Here is a 23,650-nt window from a genome sequence, read left to right as displayed (position 1 = left end):
TAGGGTTATTCCTTGGAAAAGAATTCAGCGATATTTCTCCTATTTGTTTTCTGCAATAAGAGAAATATGACTCTGTTCTGCCTGGCCCCGCAGGCAGTCAGACCTTATGGTTATCTCCCTCGTTCCCTGAAAATCACTGTTATCCTGTTCTTTTTTTAGGATGCCCAGATTTCATATTGTTCAAACACACACGTTTTACAAACAATTTGTACAGATAACACAATCATCACATGGTCCTGAGGTGACATACATCCTCAGTTTACGAAGATGACGGGATTAAGAGATTAAAGTAAAGACAGGCGTAGGGAATTATAAGATTATTGATTGGGGAAGTAATAAATGTCCATGAAATCTTCATAATTTATGTTCAGAGACTGCAGTAAAGACAGGCATAAGAAATTATAAAAGTATTAATTTGGGGAACTAATAAACGTCCGTCAAATCTTCACGATTTATGTACTTCTGCCGCGGCTTCAGCCAGTCCCTCTGTTTGGGGTCCCTGACTTCCTGCAACACACCACTCCTATTCAACATAGTGTTGGAAGTTCTGGCCAGGGCAATCCAGCAAGAGAAAGAAATAAAGTGATTCACATAGGAAAAGAAGAAGTCAAATTGTCTCTGTTTGCCAATGACTGATTGTATATTTATAAAACCCCATTGTCTCAGCCCAAAATCTCCTTAAGCTGATAAACAACTTCAGAAAAGTCTCAGGATACAAAATCAATGTGCAAAAACCACAAGCATTCCTATACACCAATAATAGACAAAAAGAGAGCCAAATCATGAGTGAACTCCCTTTCACAATTGCTGCAAAGAGAATAAAATACCTAGGAAGCAACTTAAAAGGGATGTGATGGACCTCTTCAAGAAGAATTACAAACCACTGCTCAAAAAATAAGAGAGGACACAAACAAATGAGAAAACATTCCATGCTCATGGGTAGGAAAAATCAATATTGTGAAAATGGCCATATTGCCCAAAGTAATTTATAGATTCAATGCTATCCCCATCAAGCTACCATTGACTTTCTTCACAGAATTGGAAAAAACTACTTTAAAGTTCATATGGAACCAAAAAAGAGCCCGCATAGCCAAGACAATCCTAAGCAAAAAGAACAAAGCTGGAGGCATCATGCTACCTGACTTCAAACTATACTACAAGGTTACAGTAGCCAAAACAGCATGGTACTGGTACCAAAAAAAGATATATAGGTCAATGGAACAGAACAGAGGCCTCAGAAATAACACCACACATCTACAACCATCTGACCTTTGACAAACCTGACAAAAACAGCCAATGGGGAAAGGATTCTCTATTTAATAAATGGTGTTTGGAAAACTGGCTAGCCATATGTAGAAAACTGAAACTGGACCCCTTCCTTACACCTTATACAAAAATTAGCTCAAGATGGATTAAAGACTTAAATGTAAGGCCTAAAACCATAAGAACCCTAGAAGAAAGCCTCAGCAATACCATTCAGGACACTGAATGTTAAGAAAGTGAACTGACAGAAATATATTGTTAGACAACTGCTGTTAAAGAGGTAAATTACAACCACTTCAGAAACAACTGAACAACAGGTTTTAACTGTGCAGGTCCCCTCCTCATCCTTAGCTTTCCTCCTTAGCTTTCTCCTCCTCCTCCTTAGCTTTCTCAATGTGAAGATGATAAGAATGAAGAACAATACAACAATCCAGTTCCACTTAATGAATAGTCAATACATATTCTCTTCTTATAATTTTCTTAATAAAACTTTCTTTTCTCTAGCTTACTTTATAATAAGATATACTATATAATACATATAACATACATAACATATGTTCATTGACTGTCTATGTTTTCAGTAAGGCTCTGATAAATGTTAGGCTATTAGTAGTCAATTTTTTTTTTTTATTTTGGAGGGGAAGTCTCACTCTGTCGCCCATGCTGGAGTTCAGGGGCACAATCTCAGCTCACTGCAACCTCCACCTCCCAGGTTCAAGAGATTCCCCTGCCTCAGCCTTCCAAGTAGCTGGAACTACAGGCATGTGCCACCATGCCCAGCTAATTTTTTGTATTTTTAGTAGAGAGGGGGTTTCACCATGTTAGCCAGGATGGTCTCGATCTCCTGACCTTGTGATCTGCCCACCTCAGCCTCCCAAAGTGCTGGGATTACAGGCATGAGCCACTGCACCTAGCCCAAATTTTTCAAAGTCAAAAGTTATGTGTGGATTTTCAACTGCATGGGGAGTTATATGTGGCTTCTTCAAGGGTCAACTGTATATCCTATTGGTTCTGTTTTTCTGGAGAAACGACTATACAACAGTTTTTAAAGCTCAAAGGCAAACAAAACTTGAGTAATATATTGTCTAGGAATAGAAATGCATATATGATAGAATTTTTTTTAAGCAAGGAAATGATGAAAACTAAATTCAGAATAGTTGATTAACTCTTAAGGAAAGAAGACGAATAAGATACAGGAAGTCACAGAGGTGTTGCAAAGTATTGGTATATTAGTCCGTTTTCATGCTGCTGATAAAGACATACCTGAGACTGGGCAATTTACAAAAGAATGAGGTTTATAGATTTACAGCTACACGTGGCTGAAGAGGGCTCACAATCATGTTGCAAAGTGAAAGGCATGACTCACATGGCAACAGACAAGAGAAGAGAGCTTGTGCAGGGAAACTCCCTTTTTTAAAACCATCAGATCTTGTGAGACTTGTTCACTATCATGAGAACAGCAAGGGAAACACCTGCCCCCATGATTCAATTACCTCCCACTTGGTCCCTCCCAAAACACATGGGAATTCAAGATGAGATTTGGGTGGGGACACAACCAAAGCCTATCAGTTGGTAATGTTCTAGTTCATAAGATCAACCAACAGTCATAGCTATTCATTTATATGCTTTGAAATTTTCATTAGCATCAAATATTTCATCATTTCAATTAGAAAAAACACAATGATAAATTTTCAAATTTGCAATCATTATAGAAGAATTTAGAAAATCTTTCAGAATTTAAGAGATCAGGTGATTGAAAAAAATTAAGTAAAAATATAAAGGATTTAAATAACTAAGTTTTATTTAATAGTTCCACATAGCAACGTTGCATTTTATACCCGATAAATGGTGAATGTGTATTATTTTCAAATAAAAATTGAGATATTTACATACACTAGAATGTTAATCAGGGTCCTGTCAGGAGATAAAAACTACATTAGCATATTAGGGCCCATAGGAAATATTGATAAAATTTAAAAACAAAAACAAACAGATCACATTTTCTAATCACAATTCAATAACACTGTAAATAAAAAATTAAATGCTCCAATTTACTTCTTATCTTGGAAAGAAAATTAAAGCATCAATGTATTCATTTTCCATTGCTAGCATAACAAATCATCACATTTTAGTAGCTTACAATAACACAAATATATTACCTTACAGTTCTGTAGATCAGAAGTCTGAAATGGGTCTCAATATACTCTCAAGATGATGGCAGGCTGCCTTCCTTTCTGGAGGCTCTAGGGAAGCATGTTTCCTGTTTATTCTAGGGAAGCATGTTTTGTCTTTATTCAGGCTGTTGGCAGATTTCAGTTTCTCGTAGTTATAGGACTGGGGTCTTGATTTTCTCACTCACTGTAAGCCAGGGGTCATTCCCAGCTTCTAGAAGCCAGCACATCCCTTGGCTCATAGCCTCTTTCTTCCATCTTTAAAACCTGCAATTGTGGGTCAAGTCTTCTTATGCTGTATTTCTCTCACCCCTTCTTCTGACTCTCTCTTCTGCTTCTAAGAGCTTGTGTGATTATTTTGGGCCCTACTGGATAGGATAATGAGGACAATCTCCCATCTAAAGGTCCATATCTTAATCATATCAACAAAGTCCCATTTGCCATGTTCCCAGAACTAGGGCATGGACATCTTTGGGGACCATTGTTCTCCATACCATAATTTGATTGGCACAAAGAAAATTAGAAGTTTGACCACACCTACTTATGATGAGGATGAAAGGAAACAGTATTGTTGTTGGTACATATGTAAAAGTCTTTGAAACCCAATTGAGTGGTATCTGTCTAATGTAAAATATACATAAGTTTTTGACCCTATGATTTCAATTCTAGGGTGCTTTCCTGAAGAAATACCTGCACATAAGCGTTGATAAAAATATTTTGTAGCACTCTTTGTACAAGCTAAAATTCTAAAGGCTCTAAATCTCTACCTATATGATACTGGTTTAATAAATTACGATACATCTATAAAACTTAATGCAATGCAACTTTTAAGAAAACGAGGCAGAACTTAATGTACTGACTTGGGAGAAAAATAGAATCATATTATAAATCAAATAACAAGTTACTCAATACATCAAATGAAAATCTGTCTCTTTAAAGATTAAAAATACCCTCCTAAATTACTTACATTAAAGAGGAAATCAAAAAGGAAATTAGAATTATTAAGGAATTACTGACAAAGTCTATGTGATGAGCAAAGAAGCACTTAGCAAAAAAATCAACTTAAATACAGGTATTAACTGAAAAGAAAGAGTTGAAAATAAATAAACCAAGCATTTAATACAAGAAGCCTGCGATGCTGTTTGATAGCATTTCACTCATATAACTTTTTTCAAATTTGTAGTCAATTCTCTTAAACACTGCCAATGAATTATCAAATAAGTTAGGTAACCTTCTAAGCTCTTTGTCATCGTTTCAACAATGTTCATAGTATCTTCACCAGCTTCAGATTCCATCACAAGAAACTACTTTATTTGGTCATCCATAAGAAGCAACTCCTCATTCATGCAAACTTTATAATGAAATTGTAGCAATTCAGTCACAGTCACATCTCCAGGCTTCAACATTGAACTCTAGTTCTCTTGTTATTTCCAGAACATCTGCATTTACTTCCTCCACTGAAGCATTGAGCCCCTCAAAGGTATCCATGAGAGCTGGAATCAACCTGTTCCAAACTCCTATTAATGTGCATATTTTTACCTCTTCCCATGAATCACTAGTGTTCTTTTTTTTTTTGAAAATTGATCACAACTCTTTATTAGCAAAGAAAATTGAAGAAACATCCTTTACGGCCAAAAAATAGTCTTTCCCATTAAAATGGTGGGATATATATATCATATATATGATATATAGAATTATATATATAAATCAAATCTATAAATATATAATTATATATTATATATAATGTATATTATATATATATAATGGGTAAGTACTAGCTAAAACTTGACACATAAAACCACTAAGAAAATTCAAACAATTAACAAGAACTCATTTTTCCATGGCCCATTAATTACAGAACAATTAAACAACTACGTGAAAATTAAAGACGCCTACATATTAGAAATGCATTTCAACTCACCTAGGGGTCTAACACACTTTTAAGTGGATACACAAACATTTTATTAACTGATGAGAATAAAACCACTGCCTATTAAATTCATGTACTATGGCTTATAGAGTATCTACAGAATTCTCACCTCCATGATTCCTTGCAAAACAAGTGAAAATCAAAAGTATAGAGTCCCTCTTCAACAATGAACCACTGACAAATACGATACATTTGTGATGAGTATAGAATTTATGTGCATTTTTAGCATTATGCAGTAATTACTTTGCATCACAAGTTCCAATTAACCTATATTTATGAGATTCCATTCCCGTGGGAGTTTTCACATAACTTTTAAAGTAATTGTTACAATTGAAAACTTCCCTGTATTTTCCAAACTACTGGGGTTTTATCTCAGCATGCTTTTATTTGTAAGGTCAATCTCCAGTATATGTTATCATGCACCTTTGAATAAATATCAGAGAAATAAAAGCATTCCCACACTGTATACATTTATAGGGTTAGTCTCAGAAATGAGTTCTTTCATATCTTCAAATGGAACAGGAACAACTAAAGGACTTACCAAATGTTTACATTCATACGGCTTTTCTCCACTAAGTCCTTCCATGATTTCAAGAAAAATAAAAAAACTAAAGGCTTTACCACATTTCTGAAAATTACAAGGTATATCTCTATTGTGAATTCTTGTATGTACCTGAAAGCAACAGGGAAAATGGAATGCTTTACCACTTTTGTGCATTTATGAGGTTTTCTTCCTAGTATAGGTTCTTCTGTTTTTAAAGGGAACTGGGGAAATTGCATACATTCTCATATTCCTTATATTTGTTGGGTTTTTCTCCAGTGTGAGTTTTTTCATGTGTTCTAGTGAAATTAGAACATCTGAAAGCTTTAACACATTTCTTACATTCATAGGGTTTTTTAAAACCACATATAAGAAATTTCATGCTTTCAAAGGGAACTGGAACAACCGAAGGCTTCACCACATTTCTTACATTCCTCAGGTTCTTCAGTATGAGTCCTTTCATGGCCTTGAAGGACACTGGAAGAAGTAAATGACTTGCCACATTCCTAACACAAATGTTCTTAATGGAATCTAGAATTATGAATCCTTTCCAGCAGGTTTTCAATTTACTTTGCCCAGATCCATCAGAGGAATCACTATCTATGGCAGCTATAGCCTTATGAAATGTATTTCTTAAATCAAAAGACTTAAAAGTTGAAATTACTCCTTAATTCACGGGCTGCAAAATGGATGTTGTGTTATCAGGTAGGAAAACATCAGTCTCCTTACACATTTTCATCAGAGTACTTGGGTGACCAAGCACATTCAAATGAGCAGTAATACTTTAAAAGGAATCCTATTTTCTGAGCATCAGGTCTCAACAGTGGACTTTATTAAATAAACAAGTCATGGTAAACAGATGTGCTGTCATCCAGGCTTTGTTGTTCCATTTATAGGGCACAGTAGAGTAGATTTAGCATAATTCTTAAGGGCTTTAGGATTTTCAGAATGGTCAGTTAGCAATGGCTTCAACTTGATGTCACCAGCTACATTATCCCCTAACAAGAGAGTCAGCCTATCCTTTGAAGCTTTGAAGCCACACATTGACTTCTCCTCTCTAGCTATCAAAGTGCTGGATAGCATCTTCTTCCAATAGAAGGCTGTTTCGTCTACTTTGAAATTCTGTTGTTTAGTGTATGCAGCCACCTTCATCAATGATCTTAGCTAAATCTTCTGGATAACTTATGGCAGCTTCTACAAAAAAGCACTTGCTGTTTCTCCTTGCACTTTTATGTTATGGACATGGCTTCTTTCCTTAAACCTCATGAGCCAACCTCTGCTAACTTCAAACTTTTCCTCTACAGCTTCCTTACCCTCTCAGTCTTCACAGAATTGAAGAGACTTAGGTTCCTGCTCTGGATTAGACTTTGGCTTAAGTGAATGCTGTGCTGATTTGATCTTCTATCCAGACCACTAAAACTTTCTCCATATTAGCAACAAGGTTGTTTCACTTTCTTATCATTCATCTGTTCATTAGACTAGCACTTTTAATTTTCATCTAAGAATTTTCCTTTGCATTTACAACTTAGCTAACTCTTTGGCATGAGTGACCTAGCTTTCAGCCTATCTCAGCCATTTAACATGCCTTCCTCACCAAGGTTCATTATTTCCAGCTTTCAATATCAAGGGAGAGATGTATAACTCTTCCTTTCTCTTGAACACCGAGAGGCCATTGCAGGGTTATTAATTGGTCTAATTTCAATATTATTGTGTCTCAAGGAATAGAAAGGCCCAAGGGGAGGAAGAGAAACAGAGAAACAGCCAGTTAGTGGAGCAGTCAGAACACACACATTTATTAATTAAGTTCACCATACTACATGGGAATGGTTCATGGCACCCCAAAATAATTGCAATAACATCAAAGATCACTGATCACAGATCACCATAGCATACCAAATGTGACACAGAGACACAAGTGAGTACACGCTGTTGCAGAAATGATGCCAATAGACCTGCTAGATGCAGAAGTGCCTCAATCCTTCACTGTATAAAAAACGCAACATCTACGAAATTCAACAAAATAAAGCATGCCTATAAAAACAAATTCCTAAACTAGTTCTTTAGAAACAGAAACTTTGGAAAGTCTTTTTATACAAAAGCTATTAATAATAAATTCAGAACAAGAAAGGGAATATTGGGTCATATTTTTTAAAGTTAAAGACAATAACATAAAAATTTATTCTAGTGGCTCACGCCTGTAATCCCAGCACTTTGGGAGGCCGAGGTGGGCAGATCACCAGGTCAGGAGATCAAGACCATCCTGGCTAACATGGTGAAACCCCATCTCTACTAAAAATACAAAAAACTAGCCGGGCGTGGTGGCCGGCACCTATAGTCCCAGCTACTTGGGAGGCTGAGGCAGGAGAATGGCATGAACCCAGGAGGCGGAGCTTGCAGAGAGCCGAGATTGTGCCACTGCACTCCAACCTGGGCAACTGAGCGAGACTCCTTCTCAAAAAAAAAAAAATATATATATTGTAATGGGTTGGGGGAAGGGGAAATTAGATGAAGTGGATAATTATAGAAAATTTCCCAGGAAAGCTTAAACTACTAATTTTGAGTTTAAAAATAGGAAGCCTAAATTAGACAGTAGTGAAAAAACATATTGAAAGCATATCAATATCTACCCTCTCTACAAAATGCACATACCCAGTTTTACTAGTCAGTTTTGCTAAATTCAAAAAGAACAGATAACTCCTTGTTATTTAAATTTATTCGGAGCACAGAAATAAAGATGAAAAGCCTCCCCAAAATTGTGTCAAAATTATTTACAAAAAAAACTATAAAGTCCTCCTACTCATTAATAGAGATTTTTATAATGATAAATAAATACTGGTGAATCAGACTAGCATTAAATCATGTTAGCGTTTATCACAAGAAAGAAAAGTTAAGCAGTAATATATCTATTAATATAATGCAATTCATTAACAAATTGGCTTTAAAATGTGATAATCATGACAGATGCTATTCATGTAATTTCCCCAGCTGGTGGCTCTAACCTGAGTGAGTACCATCTCTACGCACAAAGTATCAGATGAATTCTACAATGTTACACCTATTGAAGAATACACTTTTTGGGAAAGGGAGAATTTATAAATGCCAGGAACCAGAAATGAAGAGACGGCGTAAGTGGTAACCCCTAATCCTTTCAACATGACACAGGAAGACAAACCAAGCCAGAGCATTGCTAACCCAGTAGACCCAGAGGTCTACTGCCAGCCTCTACTATCACCTCCACACCCTCATCTCTCCTCCTGATAATTCAATCATGAGAGTCAATCTTGTGGGTGGGGAGAGCACTCAGGCTGCCTAGCATCCGGTTTTCTGGATTTGGAGCAAAAGCAGTTTAGAGGAATTGCCTGAGTAGGTCAGCTACCTGTCTTAGTAAAGATATTAGTGAGGTGAGATGTTTTAGTTTCTCCTTCAAAGGTGGGGCAGAGAGAGGGTGAAAGCTGAATTTCAGTGAATTTTCTCCTACTGTTGTAGGAGAAATGTTGTTGTCCCAGCTAGCCTGATGTTCAAGCAAGCCAGCCTGAGCCTATAAGGTCACCTTCAGGCAATTCTGATTGTTGCCTTACAAAAATTCAGCTCCTATGCATGTTTTTTTATCTTTATAAATTTGGAATACAAAAACATTTTTCTGTACTTTATTGGGGAGAATCTACCAAGAACCTACAGGAAATCTCATGTTTAATAATAAAAGATCAAAAGCATTCCCCATTTAAAGCAGGAACAAGAGAAAGAGGTCCTTGTATATTTCTGGAGACCTTCCTAACATAGTAGGAGCAAAATTAAAATATATTTCTAAAAGACAGAATTATCAATATTTGAAGATACAATGGACTACCTACAGAATACAGTTTTCTGAGATAGTAATAATTTCATTCCTTGACATAGCTGATAGTTACATGGTGTGTTTGCTTTGTAAATTAATCAAGTTTTTGTTCACAATTTGTGTACTTTTGTATTTATTCCGTTCTTTAATTTTAATTTTTTTACTTAAAAAAATATAATCAAGGAATAACTGCATATGTTTTTAGATGTTAACATTTCAAATAAGTAGTTTTTAAAAAATGGCAACTCAGTAAATAATATTGCGGCAGATAACTATTAAGGGAAAATTTAATTTAGATCAATTACATTAGGCAAAATTGGATAGATGAAAGAGCTGAACATTAAAAATTTATAAAATTACTAGAAGAAAATATGGAGAAATATTTTTATAATTTTTGAGTGAAGAAGTTCTTCAAGGCTTAAAATCTAACAGCCACAAAGAAAAAGCTGATAGATTTGGCTACAAGACACCAGAAGCAAAACTCAAAGATAATTAATAGACAAATGGGAAATATTTAAAACATACATGAGATTAAAAAGAAATAATGTCAAAATTTTTTAAAGAACTCATAAAAATCAATTTTAACAAAGGACAATTCAACATTTTTGAGGAGTAATGATATGAATGGTAATTTACAGAAAAAGGAATACAAATGACCACCACACCTAAGCAAATATGTCCAGTCATATATATTCAATGAAAAAATTAAAATAGTAATGCAGTATCACATTTTACATACCAGATTGGCCTGAAATGAAAAATCTTTACAATATCCAGTGTTAGTTAAGATATGGGGAAGAGGTGCTGTTAAGGAGCATAAAAATTCACACAGCTCTTTAGAAAGCAATTTTTCAACATCTATAAACTTTAAAATAGGCATATTTCTTGAGATAATATTTACATATAATACTATTCTGCAGAAATACTTGCACAAATGAACAAAATAACAAAATACTCATTGTATCACTGTTTGTAATAATAAATTATTACAAATTTCCATCCAAATGATAATAGTTAAACTAATTTTATCTATATATTGGAGTTATTAAAATAATAGGAAGTTCCAGCCTGCGTAACATGGTGAAACCCTGTCTCTACAAAAAATACAAAAATTAGTGGGGAACAGTGGCACATACCTGTAATCCTAGCTACTGGAGAGGCTAACGTGGGAGGATCACTTGAGCCAGGAGGTAGAGGCTATAGTGAATTGTGATTGTGCCTCTGCACTCCAGCCTGAGTGACAGAGTGAGATTCTGTGTCAAAAAAAAAAAAAAAAAAATAGGGAGTTATATGTACAAACAAGGTAAAATAAAGAGAGAAAATAAAGTCAAATAAGATCTAGAGTATAGTCCCATTCTTCAAAAGAAACAATCTATACATGTTTCTAGAGATTTTGAGCAGAATCTATCAACAACACCTCTTTACCATTCAGAGTTCATAGGAAACTGAGAAATAAGACCAAAGACATATAGGCAAAACATAAATATATCCTAAAACTCTAACTGACAAGATGTCAGATGGATTTTTTACACAAGCAGAGCATTTCATCAAGTGGGAAGGAAACTGATAAACAAGCACAAAATAAATAGGATAATTTCAGACACTAGTGAGTGCATTGATGAAAATAAAACATAGCAATGGAAAGAAATTAAGAGGTGAGATTGGGATGGAAGGAACTACTTTAGATTAGGTGGTATAGGCAGACCTCTTTGCAGACTTGAAAGGGCAAGACATATGCAAAGAAAAGGGAACTCTTATACACTGTTGATGTGATGTAAACTAGTACAACCACTATGAAGAAACATATGGAGGTTTCTTAAGAAACTACAAGTTGAACTACCATATGATCTAACAATCCCACTACTGGGCATTTATCCGAAAGAAAGGAGATCAGTATATCCAAGAGATATACACACTCCCATGTTTATTCCAGCACTATTCACAATAATCAAGATATGGAATCAGCCTTGAGGTAGGTGTCCAACCACAGATGAATGGACAAAGAAAAGGTGGTATATAAACACAATGGAATTCTATTTAGCCATAAAAAAGAATGAAATCCTGTCATTTGTGGCAACTTGTATGGTACTGGGAGGCATTTTGTTAAGTAAAATAAGCCAGGAACAGAAATTTAAACACTATATGTTCTCATTCACATGTGGGAGCTAAAAAAAAATGTTGATCTCAAAGGGGTAAAAAGTAGAACAAAGGATACTAGAGGCTGGGAAGGGTGGTGGGAGTTGGGGATAGGAAGAGATTTGTTGAAGAATACAAATTTACAGACAAGTAGGAGGAATAATTTATAGTGTTCTATAGCACTATAGGACAATTATAGTTAACAATAATATATAGTTTTAAATAGCTAGAAGGAGGATATTGAATTATCCCAACACAAAGAAACAATAAATGTTTGAGATGATGGATACGCCAGTTACCCTGATCTGATCACTGTGCGTGGTACATATCACAACATAACTAGGTACCCCCAAAATATGTAAAATTATTATATGCTTATTAAAAATAAAATAATATAAAAATAAATGAAATAAAAAGAAACAACACATAGCTTGGGCAGCAAAGTTGAGCACTTCTATCCAGAGTAGGGATCAGTAAAATTTTTCTGTAAAGGGTCAGTTAGCAAATTTTCAGCTTTGCCAGCTATATGGTCTCTGTTATAACTCCTCAATTTTGCTGTTGTAGCATAAAACAGCTTTAGACAAACATAAATGAATGAGAATGACTGTGTTCCAATAAAACTTTATTTATGGACAATGATATTTGAAGTCCACATAATGTTCTTTTGGTTTTTCCAACCATTTAAAATGTAAAAACCATTCTTAGCTCGCATGTTTTACAAAAACAGACAGCAGACCGGCTATGGCCTGAGGGCAATAGTTTGCTGACCCCTGATCTAGAGTCAAGGCTTGTCAGACGCCTATGCCAAACACTAAATTGATTTATACAGATCATCTTACAATTGTCACAACTCTATGGGGTCACTATTACTATTATCCCCATCTTAATAATTAGGTGACTGAGGCTTAGAGAAAGTAAGCAATTTTGTCAAGACCTGTTGCTGAACTAGTAATATTTGACTTGGATTAAATATAACACCCCTCTCTACTAGGCAGGTAACTTCAACTCCCTTGCCCTCTCTTAACTGTAGTTTCCACAAGATTAAGAATGATAATAATATATATCTAGCTTCCTACAGTTGTTGTAGAACTCAAATAAAATAATACACTTTGTAATGCATTTTATAAATTGTAATTTACATTTTCCCCAACATAGCCACCTCATTGCATTTTGGTGTTTGCTTAATTTTCACCAAATTAAAGAGATTTTTCCTGATCATCCTGTCTAAAATAGCAACCCCAGTACTATCTACCAACTCTGTCTTTTTTCTCCAAAACTCTCTTCACACTCTGACACATATTCACTCTTTTGTATTATTATTGTCTGTCTTCCCACACCGGAACACCATGAGAAAAGTTAATATCCATTTAGGTTACTTCTGTATCTTCAATGCCTAGAACAGTGCCTGGAAGAAATAGTTATTTAATAAATCATTGTTGAAGAAATGAATATATACATATAATCCTTAACTTGTATAATATTTTTCTATTTTTCACCTTTGGCATTTCTAGCACAAAATCTAACTCACTGCACACATTCTTTCAAAAGAGAGTAGACATAGCAGGAATGCAGTTGTGGAAATAAGCACTAGATCTCTCCTGCTTCCTTAAAGAATACATCTATAATCTATTTTATTTTTAAGAAGAAGCCTGTCGACTGTATTTTGAAGAGTGTTTAAAAAACACCTCTTAGGCTAGGGGTGGTGGCTCACACCTCTAATCTCAGTATTTTGGGAGGCCGAGGTGGGAGGATCACTTCAGCTCAGGAGTTTGGGACCAGCCTGGCCAACATAGCAAAACCCAGTCTCTAATAAAAATACAAAAATTAGGCTGGCATGGTGGTGCATGCCTGTAATCCCAGCTACTCAGGAGGCTGAGGCACAGGAAGTGCTTGAATCCAGGAGGTGGAGATTGCAGAGAGCTGAGATCATGCCACTGCACTCCAGCCTGGGTGACAGAGCGAGACTCTGTCTCAAAAACAAAAACAACACAAAAACCTCTTGAGTTCTACAGAACTGTGTCAGATTTATTCATAATAACACACGACATTCAGTGAACAAGGACCTTTATAGTATTTAAAAAAAATAGCTATTGGTTGAATTGGAAGATATCTCTAGAGGTTAATTACTCCATACCTTGACATCTTGTCAGTTATTAGTTGCAGCTACCTTCTAATTTTGACTTTCTGAGTTTAAGTCCTTCAAGTCATCCTGCTTTGGTATAATTCTTATACATGTCTCATTTTTCAAGGTTTTAAAATTTTGATTCAACTAGCAGTACCCCTGAATGTCTCCTATGCAACCTCATATATTTGTGTATGTGTGTGATTTTCTAAATGTTCCTTGAAATTCTTTTTACCTAATACTATCTATTACTTCCCATTTGTTGACATTTTATTGAAATTTTTATTTTCATTATTTGTTATTCTTTCCATCCCTTAGAATTCCAAATTCCAACATTTATTTTATTTATAAATCTTTTTGAAATTTTACATTTTATTCATGACTACAGTCTCATTCACTTGCTCTTGAGATAAAGATCATTTTTTAAAATCATAAAGATGCTTTCTCTTACTTTTGTTTTTCAACTGAACCTCAGAGATTCATTACATAATTATTTCTCTCTGCTTCAATATTCCTGGAAAAACTACTTGAAAATATAAATACACAAACAGTATAAATATATAAACATATAGTTAGATATTTGAGAATAGATCTTGATCTGTAAACTAGTGCTGTCTAAAAGAGGCCAGGTGCAGTGGCTAATGCCTGTAATCCCAGCACTTTGGGAAGCCAAGGTGGGCAGATCATGAGGTCAAGAAATAGAGACCATCCTGGCTAACATGGTGAAACCCCGTCTCTACTAAAAATACAAAAATTAGCTGGGTGTGGTGGCAGGTGCCTGTAATCCCAGCTGCTTGGGAGACTGAGGCAGGAGAATCATTTGACCCAGGGAGTCAGAGATTTCAGTGAGTCAAGATCGTGCCACTGCACTCCAGCCTAGCAACAGAGCAAGACTTCGTCTCAAAAAAAAAAAAAAAAAAAAAAAAGACAGAGAAAATAAATAGCAGTAAATTTATCTCCTGTTTAAAATTCTTGAGTGGTACCCACTCAATGATAGCAATATAACAAAAATGTTATATTTTGAAACATTAGCTGATAAGCTGCATTATGTAAAATTTACTGAAAACAGCATTCTGTGAAAATATTAACCAAGATAGAACATTCATTAAAAGTATTAGGCTCAAAATTGAAATGCATGAAAGGCCATAATGGCTGAAATAAAATTAAGAAAACTTCCCCCAGTCAAGGAAATAAAGAGCAACAGAAGTGTGAACATGGCCCAGATTAATAATTTTTATTTTTATAATATCCATTCCTTGAATATATGCATCATCTCAAGTCATCGTGTGTGCTTGCGAGAGAGACGGGAGACAGCCAAATGCCAACCAGGGCACTGTGCACAGGAGGCTTGCTTAAACATACCCAAGGTGAAAAATTTCATTTCCTAACACATATGCAGTAAGGGAAATAAATCAATGTGGAATGGCTCAGACTAAGGACCCACCTGTATGTACACTGGGAGAACAGGGTGGAGACACCAGGAATTCACTCTTTATGCAGGGAGAAGCCTGTCCTCTTCAGCTCCTGTGTGGTGGTCTGATATTCAATATGTGAGGTGAGAGCCTGTTGGCAGGACCCCCTTTCTTTGCTGAGAGCTTTCTTTTAATAAATTCTACTCTCCTCAACTTTCAATTTGTCTGTGTGCCTAATTTTTCCTGGTCATGAGACAGGAACTCAGATTTTAGCTGAGCTGAGAAGCAAAAAAAAAAAAATCCTGCATCATTTTGGTAGCCTGTTTGGGGAACGAGGAAAGGTGAGTAAAATGCAGACCAAAAAATCTTTATCCCTCGTTTCTGAGCCTTCCTGTCCTCAGACTTCTTCTGAGGGTAGAGGAAACTGCACCCCACCCCACCAACCCCCTACTGTCACTCTTCGGATTCAGGAATGTCGGCCTCAATCCAACCCAGTCTTTTCTGTGGCATTTTCTATCTTTCCTGTTGGGACTGTATGGCATCTATTTTTTCCTTTACAATATTGGGGGTGTTCTAACCCCACCCCAGTGGCTGCAGTCACGCACACTGGATAGACAGGCGAGTGGTGACTCCCACCCCCCTACCCTCCTACCTGGGGCTATGGCGCATGGCCCAAGTCCCCGCTTGGCTGGCTGGCCAGCATTCCCTGCCACGCATGCATGGTGCCTTCCCCTCCTCCAGCCGAGGAGTCCATCTCCATCCAATGGCAATTAAAAGTTTCTCTCCCTGTTGGAAAAACCCATTTGCATAAGAATAAGAGGTTCTTCCCCAAGGTATCTTTCTAGCCCTGCATTTAAGCTGTTTTTCTTTTCCTTTTCTCCATTAGGTCAGGAGCTAACTTTTATGCAAGAGGCTATTCTTTCCTTTTCAAGGACGTTTTACTAGGCCAGGAACCCAACTATCACTGTTTACATTCTTTGTAAAGTTTTACTTACAAAAATGGATTTGTGAGATTGGTCTTAAGCTGTAGCCAATCTGGCGATGCTTTGGATGGCTTTAGTATGGTTCTGTCAGAAAGAGGGGTATCTAAGGATGGGATGTGGGCCTAGGACTCCATAGACCCACTGTTCAAGCCAGCCTGGCTAACTGGTCAGTAGCAAACTTTGCTGCAAGCTTCTATCTTGTTTTACGTCCTTGGGAGAACCATGTGGCAATGCTTTGTTTTAGCCTCCACTATTTTACAATGGTGGCCTGGGTTCAATCCTGGCTTAGGGAATGAGTCCTTTGTGGTTTGATATCTGTGTGACCTTTGCCATTTGTTTATTCTCTTCTACTCCATGAACTGCCTTGAATTTTCCTTTCTCTGAGTACCTGGGTGGTTACCTTCAGTAAAGTTTGAAAGCCAGAAATACTGGCTGCTTGGTGCAGCTAAAGTCATGTAACAAGGGATTTAAAAGAATTTTCTTAAAGAGTGTTCAGCTTAATTAAAAGTGGATATCCAAGTTATAGGTATATTTAAAAGGCCTTTATGTTTTCCCTTCTTGGATCTTGTTTTGCTGGAAGAAGGATTTTTTTCTCAGTCAACTGAATTATTTTTCTCCATTTCATCTTGTCACTCTAAATGCAAGCATAAGGGGCCCTAAGATAATTTCTGATGGCTTGGGACTCCTTGAAAAAAAACAGAAAAGCCACCACAGATTCCATTTTGAGAGAGACCTCTGTTTTCCTCAGGGAGTCCCACGAATTGGAGGCAGATGGATCCCTCTCAAAATCTGTTTTTGTGTTTCAGCTATACCTGTTTAGCAGGCCCTAGAGAGTGCATGCTTTCCTAGATTTGCTCTTACAGGTCTCCACCCAGAGGCCAATAGTCCAGTTAGGAGATTAGCAAATAAAAAAACTCTTATAGCTCTTCGATCTTCTTCTGTGAGTTTGTGTAGTTATATATGTGTTGTGTGTGATGTCTACAAAAAAGAGCTCTAATTAACTGGCTTGAAAGAAAAATAAATGCTTAAATCAAATATTTTTTAAAGAGAACATAAAAGCTGTGATATCTTTTGGTTTACAAGATTTTAATCTCTGAGAAATAAAAAGCCTTAAAGATTATTAGTAAAATGCAGATGTAGTCAAAATATAAATTTTTGCCTAGGGTTAAAGGATTGGTTTGAATTAGATAAGATAAAGCCAAACGCTCAAAGAAGTTGTGGAAGGTTTCTAAATAATTAACCTTGCCAAAGAAATTCTGTGTGTGAACATTGACTAAATTCAAAAGTGTTATAAAAGCTTTTTGCTTTTTTAAATTTTTGAGTTATCATTTTGGCAAAATAACTTATGGTAATCTGGGATTCTATTTCATAACATCAAGTGTTTTAAACCTCTAACATTTAACAGGCTTCCCAAAATTACATTTTAGCTTCGAGGTTGTCTTTCCTGAACCCTAGCTTTTGGATGCTTCAGAGGGCCTCTGGAGCATCCAGAAGAGAGGTAAACAGGACTGTCTGACGTGTTTAGGTACATGGGATTGCCAAAATGATGTTTAATCTTCATCAGGTTATATTTTAGGGAATAATAATGTATGTTCCAAAATTGTATGGGATTTCTAAAATTCTTATGGCTGAATATATGCTATCAATCACAATTAGGGTTGTTATGTTATTTTAAACCATACAGATAACCAACTTTCTTTGTCAATCATGTCTCTGACTGTAACTACCCCAGACATTTTGTTATTCACAATTGTATTGTTTTGATCCTCTTCAAAAGATGGTTTATAACCAGCTATAGAACTTTGACAAGTGCTCTCAAATGCAGGTTTCTGATAACTTTGGAGACTGTGACATTGGAATAGAGAAAAAAATGTACAGGACTCATGAAGAGCTGATATGTTCATAAATATTAAGCAAAACAACAGTTAACTAAACAGACTGAACTAATAGAAAGCTGAAGTAATTTTTTGATTTTTGCTTGGAACATTGCTGATCCTTGTTCTGTTTTTCAGAGTCAAGGAAATTTATTTTGAGCTATTTACAGCCTTTAATAATTGAGTAAGATATACTTCTGTGAACAAAATTTGGAACATTTTTTTTTCTCTCTCTCTCCCTGGCTTCTGCAGAATTTAGAAACTAGTTGAGTATTCTTAACTTATGGCAATATAGTTGCTTGCATCAGTGCAATAACAACCCATTTTCTTTTGCAAAAGGATGCAGTTGGAGAAACTGGTTGTTTTACCAAGGCTTTGATGAAAAGGTATGCTTCCCTTTAAGGAGTCAAGCTCAACTTGCAGAGCCAATAAAAGTCCCTTGGGAAAACTGGCCTCATACCTTGTCTACACAGTCTTCATACTGGGTTCCTAACCTGTGGTAAGTAAAGAATGTCACTTTCTAACAGGCCCAAGAACCCCATGCTCTTGGGACCTCAAGAAAAGAGTTTACCCACTCACAGATGTTTGAGGGTACAAACCCATGGGTGGGCTCGGCTTTAGAAAGTCCTATCTGAGACTCCTTGTGGAACAGAGTTCCATCAAAGCCAATCTAAAAGGCATATGTAAAACTAATTATTCTTGCTGCACTTTATGTAAATAATCAGGCTAAGTATAAGACTAAAGTCTATTTTGCAAGCAACTCAGTCCTATCATGATTTTTTTAACAAAAATGACTAGAGAAATTATGTTTCAAAACTTATTATCATTAAATTCTAGACTGCTTAGTTGTTTTTAAGTTTTTGCCTACATTATAGACTAACCCTGCTTATTCCTATGAACCAATCTGCGATCTCTGTCTACAGCTCAGAAGGAACAAAAGGGAGGGCTGGGCACAGTGGTTCATGCCTGTAATCCCAACACTTTGGGAGGCCAAGGCAGGTGGATCACCTGAGAGGTCAAGAGTTCAAGACCAGCCTGGCCAACTTGGTGAAATCCCTTCTCTACTAAAAATACAAAAATTAGATGGGTGTGGAGGTGCATGCCTGTAACCTCAGCTACTTGGGAGGCTGAGGCATGAGAATTGCTTGAACTCGGGAGGCAGAGGTTGCAGTGAGCTGAGATGGTGCCACTGCACTCCAGCCTGGGTGACAGAGTGAGAATTCATCTCAAAAAAAAAAAAAAAAAAAAAAGAGTAAGAGGGGATGGAAAATGAAAAACTCTGGATCAATATTCTAGTTCTGGGCAATTATCCTGCAAATCCTCCTGGGTGATGGAAATAAATAGGATGCCCAAATGTTTCCTTTTTGGGTCCCTTGTTGGAGGAGGACTTAATTCCACAGCTTCACTTTAGCATTCAGCTTATGATAAGGAGTCCAAGAAACCTCCCCAAGACAGATTTTTGGTCCCAAACTCAATTCCAAGCTTTTAGTTGAAGCCCTAGGAAAGAAAACTGGATCTGAGGGATGCAGAGGCAGACAATAATGAAGTTAAAAGGCACAGTGCAGGTGAGCATCACTAATTCCTGCCGATTAAGCCAAGCCTCTCATTTCATGGATAAAGGTCATGCTAGTATCCATGGTAAAAATGAGTTCTAGGGAACTCAAAGGCTACTGACAGCAGGAGAGATAGGGCATAAATGAGTAAGAGTGGATATTCCCACCCCCTATGCCCCCTTGTTGACATGGGTGAAAGCTGCTTTGACACCCATGGGTGGTACCCTGTTGTGGTTGCTGGGACTCAGGGATATAAGGATGGAAGAAAGAAAGAGGGATGCCTCACTTTCTCTCCCTCATGTACCTTGGGTATTTGCTAGGAAGAGAAGGGAACCTGGGATGCCCCGCCACCCCCTTTCTAGATGAGTAGCCATTCATCTTCAGTCTGTACCCCTTTTGAATGCATCCTGAACCACTGTGATGCCTTTGAAAATAATGCCTTCTTTTTTCCTTTTTCCTCCTCTTTCCTCTCTTCACAGATAGGTAGTTGTGTCTCTGTACTACAGGACACTCCCATCAGATGCATCCTTCAAACTGGGAAAAGTTAATTTCCCAAACCTTAAACTGGTTGTCTTAGGATTGGGCTCGGGGCCAGAAGCCCAACATGCTGTCAAAAGGGCAAAGTTTTTGTTGTTGTTGTTGTTGTTGTTGTTGTTGTTTGTTTGTTTGTTTTTACCAGTCAGGCTTTTGGCCTCCCTCTCTCCATGCAAACTAGTAAAAGGCTTTAGGATTTTTGATACATGTTTTCTAATAACCCAATTTATCTCTTCTTGCCTTCAGACCATCAAACTCCAAACAGTCATGCAACGGAGTCTCAGACAGTGGCTCCTTTTGCTGGGAACCCTTAAATAGGCTTCTGAAGGAGATCTGACTACTGTTTTCACAAAACAGCATCCCTGTCAGCAGGAATCAGTTACGATTGGTATTTGCCCTTATAACCTTATCCTTGTTCTAATGGCAGTTAGATGTACTTATTTAGAGAGGGGAATGATAGAGGCAGGAGACAGCCAAATGCCACACGGGGTCATTCTGCACAGGGGGCTTGCCTAAACATGCCCAAGGTGAAAAATTCCATCCCTTAACACATGTGCAGTAAGAGAAGTAAACCAGTGTGGAGTGACTCAGAATAAGGGCCTGCCTGTGCACTGGGAGAATGGGGTGGAGCCACAGGGAACTTGTGCCTTATGCAGCAGGAGGATCCCAGCCGCTTCAGCTCATGTGTGGTGGTCTGGTATTCTATCTGTGAGGTGGGAGCTTGCTGGCAGGATGCCGTTTTTTTCACAGACAGCTTTATTTTAATAAATTCTGCTCTCCTCACCCTTCAGTGCGTCCATGTGCCTAACTTTTCCTGGTCATGAGACAAGAACCCAGATTTTAGCTGAACTAAGGAGCAAAAAATCCTTTGTATGTGTTCCTATGTGTTTGTTTTGTTATAAAACAACAGTTACAAAATGAACATACTCTAATAACTTCACAATGAAAGAAACTTAGCAAATGTATTAACCTTCGTTCCACTTATAGCTACGTTGGAAAAAGTAATAATATACTGATTTCAGCGAAATCTTACAGCTTTATTTCTATTATCAAGATGGACAATAATGGCAAACAATGGGTGCTTGCCAGAAATCCAAGTTTTATCATTTTGAGGATTTTATCATTTGCTGAGAGGGTACCAGCATGACAAAAGACATGAATTTCAACAGCATGCTACAGGACATCAACATTTGTTTCTTGTCCACTTTTGATTCTTCTCAGCAATGTGAAAACTCTTCATTATACTTGTCTCTAGGCTCACTTCACTCAGTTACCTGGGGCCATCATTGGTTAATATAGCTCTTTTAAAAAATGAAAATGAGATAATACTGGTTGTTTCAGCAATAGCTCATCTATGTCAGTACCTTTTCTAAATCTTATGAGCTCAAGTATTTTATTTTAATTCTTGCTTATGTAATTTTGTGACTGTTCTTTCTGGTCCAATTAAAATTATTCATTAATTCACACGTGTAGTCAAAAAAATACTTATTGGGAGGGGACTATAAGCTAAGTTCCAAAAATATACAAATGAATTTTACCATTGCTGACCACAAGCATTTTAAAGTGAGAGTTACAAATATTTTTATGTGTGTGTACATTATAATAGCAATATAGTATGGCAAATGCCATAACAACAGTAGAGAACAAAAGATGTTTTTAGCTACCTTGACAGAACTGGGAAAGCCTCTTCACGGAGAAGGAAGCATTTCATATTGCCAGGCAAATAATATTTTGGAAATTGCAGGGGAGGAAAGAAGTCCAGACAGGAGAAACAGTAGGCCAAAGGCATAGAAATGTGTTGGCAATAGAGAAATCCAATGGGTTTCATGGCTGGAGGTGGCAAAAAAAAAAAAAACATAGCTGACAGCAAAAATATTAAATGACTATTTATCAAGGATGTTGGATAAAGAATTCAAAAATTGGAAGAAAGGTTGAATTCAAAGATCCCTTTGCATTCAATAATAATATTAGTCTATATTTTTCACTGGCAATCATGTATGTGGCAATAATATATTATTTCTCCCCAATTAGATATTTGTAAAGTGACTCATCAACTTCTAATTTACTATTAGTAATTCACAAGTTCACATAAAGAATTTGCTTATACTTTATGTGCCTTTATACTCCCAATAATAATTGAAAACCCAAAACTATCTATTGATGAATCATTCTTGCAAACTTTTGTAAGCCGTTTCATTTTATGTTTTCAGAACGGTCAGTACATATCTTGTTTCTCATTTGCCTTAACAAAGTGTCTCATGGATAATTGTGTTGAAAATCTCTATAATGGCTATATTAACGGCAGATTCTCCTAGAAAAAAAGTGTAATCATGATTGTAAGAAGCCAAATATTTTACTTATGCATTTTCAATTTTAAATTATTTTATACACAAAAATTGTTTCCATGCAAACACCCAAATATTTACAAACCTATGAATTAATGGTATCATAGAATTCTACATCTCTAAGTATTAGTGTTTGTAATATTCAATAACCATATTGTGAAAGTAACTTCCTTATATACTACTTAGTTCATACAAAAATTATATTTATGACATTATATATTATTTTGGTAAATTTAATTGCTTAGTATCTGATCCTTGTATCTTGGAAGAAGAAACTATGAGTAACAGTGGTCCTGCCAGAGCTTTGCCAGTCTGGCCAGATCTCCAAGACCTGCCAAGTTCTAAGTGTAGTTGAATAAACACAGACACACTTTCATGGAGAGAGTGTGCCAGTTTTTAATCATCCCTTTAATCACCGCCAACATCTGCCAGCTTTTCTCTTTCTGAAAGTGCTGCTACTTTTAGCATGCCACCCAAGAGACAGGTGCAATATACAAAAAGCATGGTGCACTGCTTTCCAATTGTGTCCCTCTTGGCTTTCAGTTGAATGATGTCCCATCCTGATTTGGCTGAGATCAGATGGGTAACACCCCCCACCCCCGCCCTGACAATTCGATATGACAACACCACAGGGGTACTGGAGTCCTGAAGGAATTCTAGCAGTTTCTGAAATAAAATAATATAAAGAAGAAACATCTCAAGAGAAGGGTCAGAAGTCAAAAGGAAAAAAAGTAATGGGACATAGGTAGACACTGACACATATATGAACAAAAATAAATAAATTACAGGAACTATATAACATTCACCAATACATTAGATGCCCTAGTTTAAAACAGCAATTCTGATTGCAAATTAACTATATAGGAAAAAGTATTGGAGACAGTTTACAAATCAGATAGATTCAAAGAGTGTTCCTACTGGGGCTTGGCTTAGAATAAATCCTGCCTGAGT

At 36.6% G+C, this 23,650-nt stretch overlaps 1 long non-coding RNA gene and 1 pseudogene across 2 annotated transcripts in view; both read right to left on the bottom strand.

Moving 5' to 3' along the window:
* LOC100419692 (zinc finger protein 791 pseudogene) lies at positions 5,745–6,429 on the bottom strand (annotated as a pseudogene).
* The window catches only part of LOC105375993 (uncharacterized), a 98,517-nt gene continuing 87,412 nt past the window's right edge, over positions 12,546–23,650 (bottom strand). The window contains exons 3-5 of one of the 2 annotated variants that reach the window (XR_929520.3): positions 16,063–16,196; positions 15,443–15,688; positions 12,546–13,281 (exon numbers count right to left, since the gene is read on the bottom strand). This is a non-coding gene — a long non-coding RNA (uncharacterized LOC105375993). The remainder of the gene's footprint in view (positions 13,282–15,442; positions 15,689–16,062; positions 16,197–23,650) is intronic. The other variant, XR_929521.3, reaches the window with a different exon arrangement.

Source organism: Homo sapiens, chromosome 9, assembly GCF_000001405.40.
Source record: "Homo sapiens chromosome 9, GRCh38.p14 Primary Assembly".
Taxonomy (NCBI): Eukaryota; Metazoa; Chordata; class Mammalia; order Primates; family Hominidae; genus Homo; species Homo sapiens.
The sequence above is the reverse complement of the archived record's forward strand: the minus strand, read 5'-3'. Positions and strand labels throughout refer to the sequence as shown.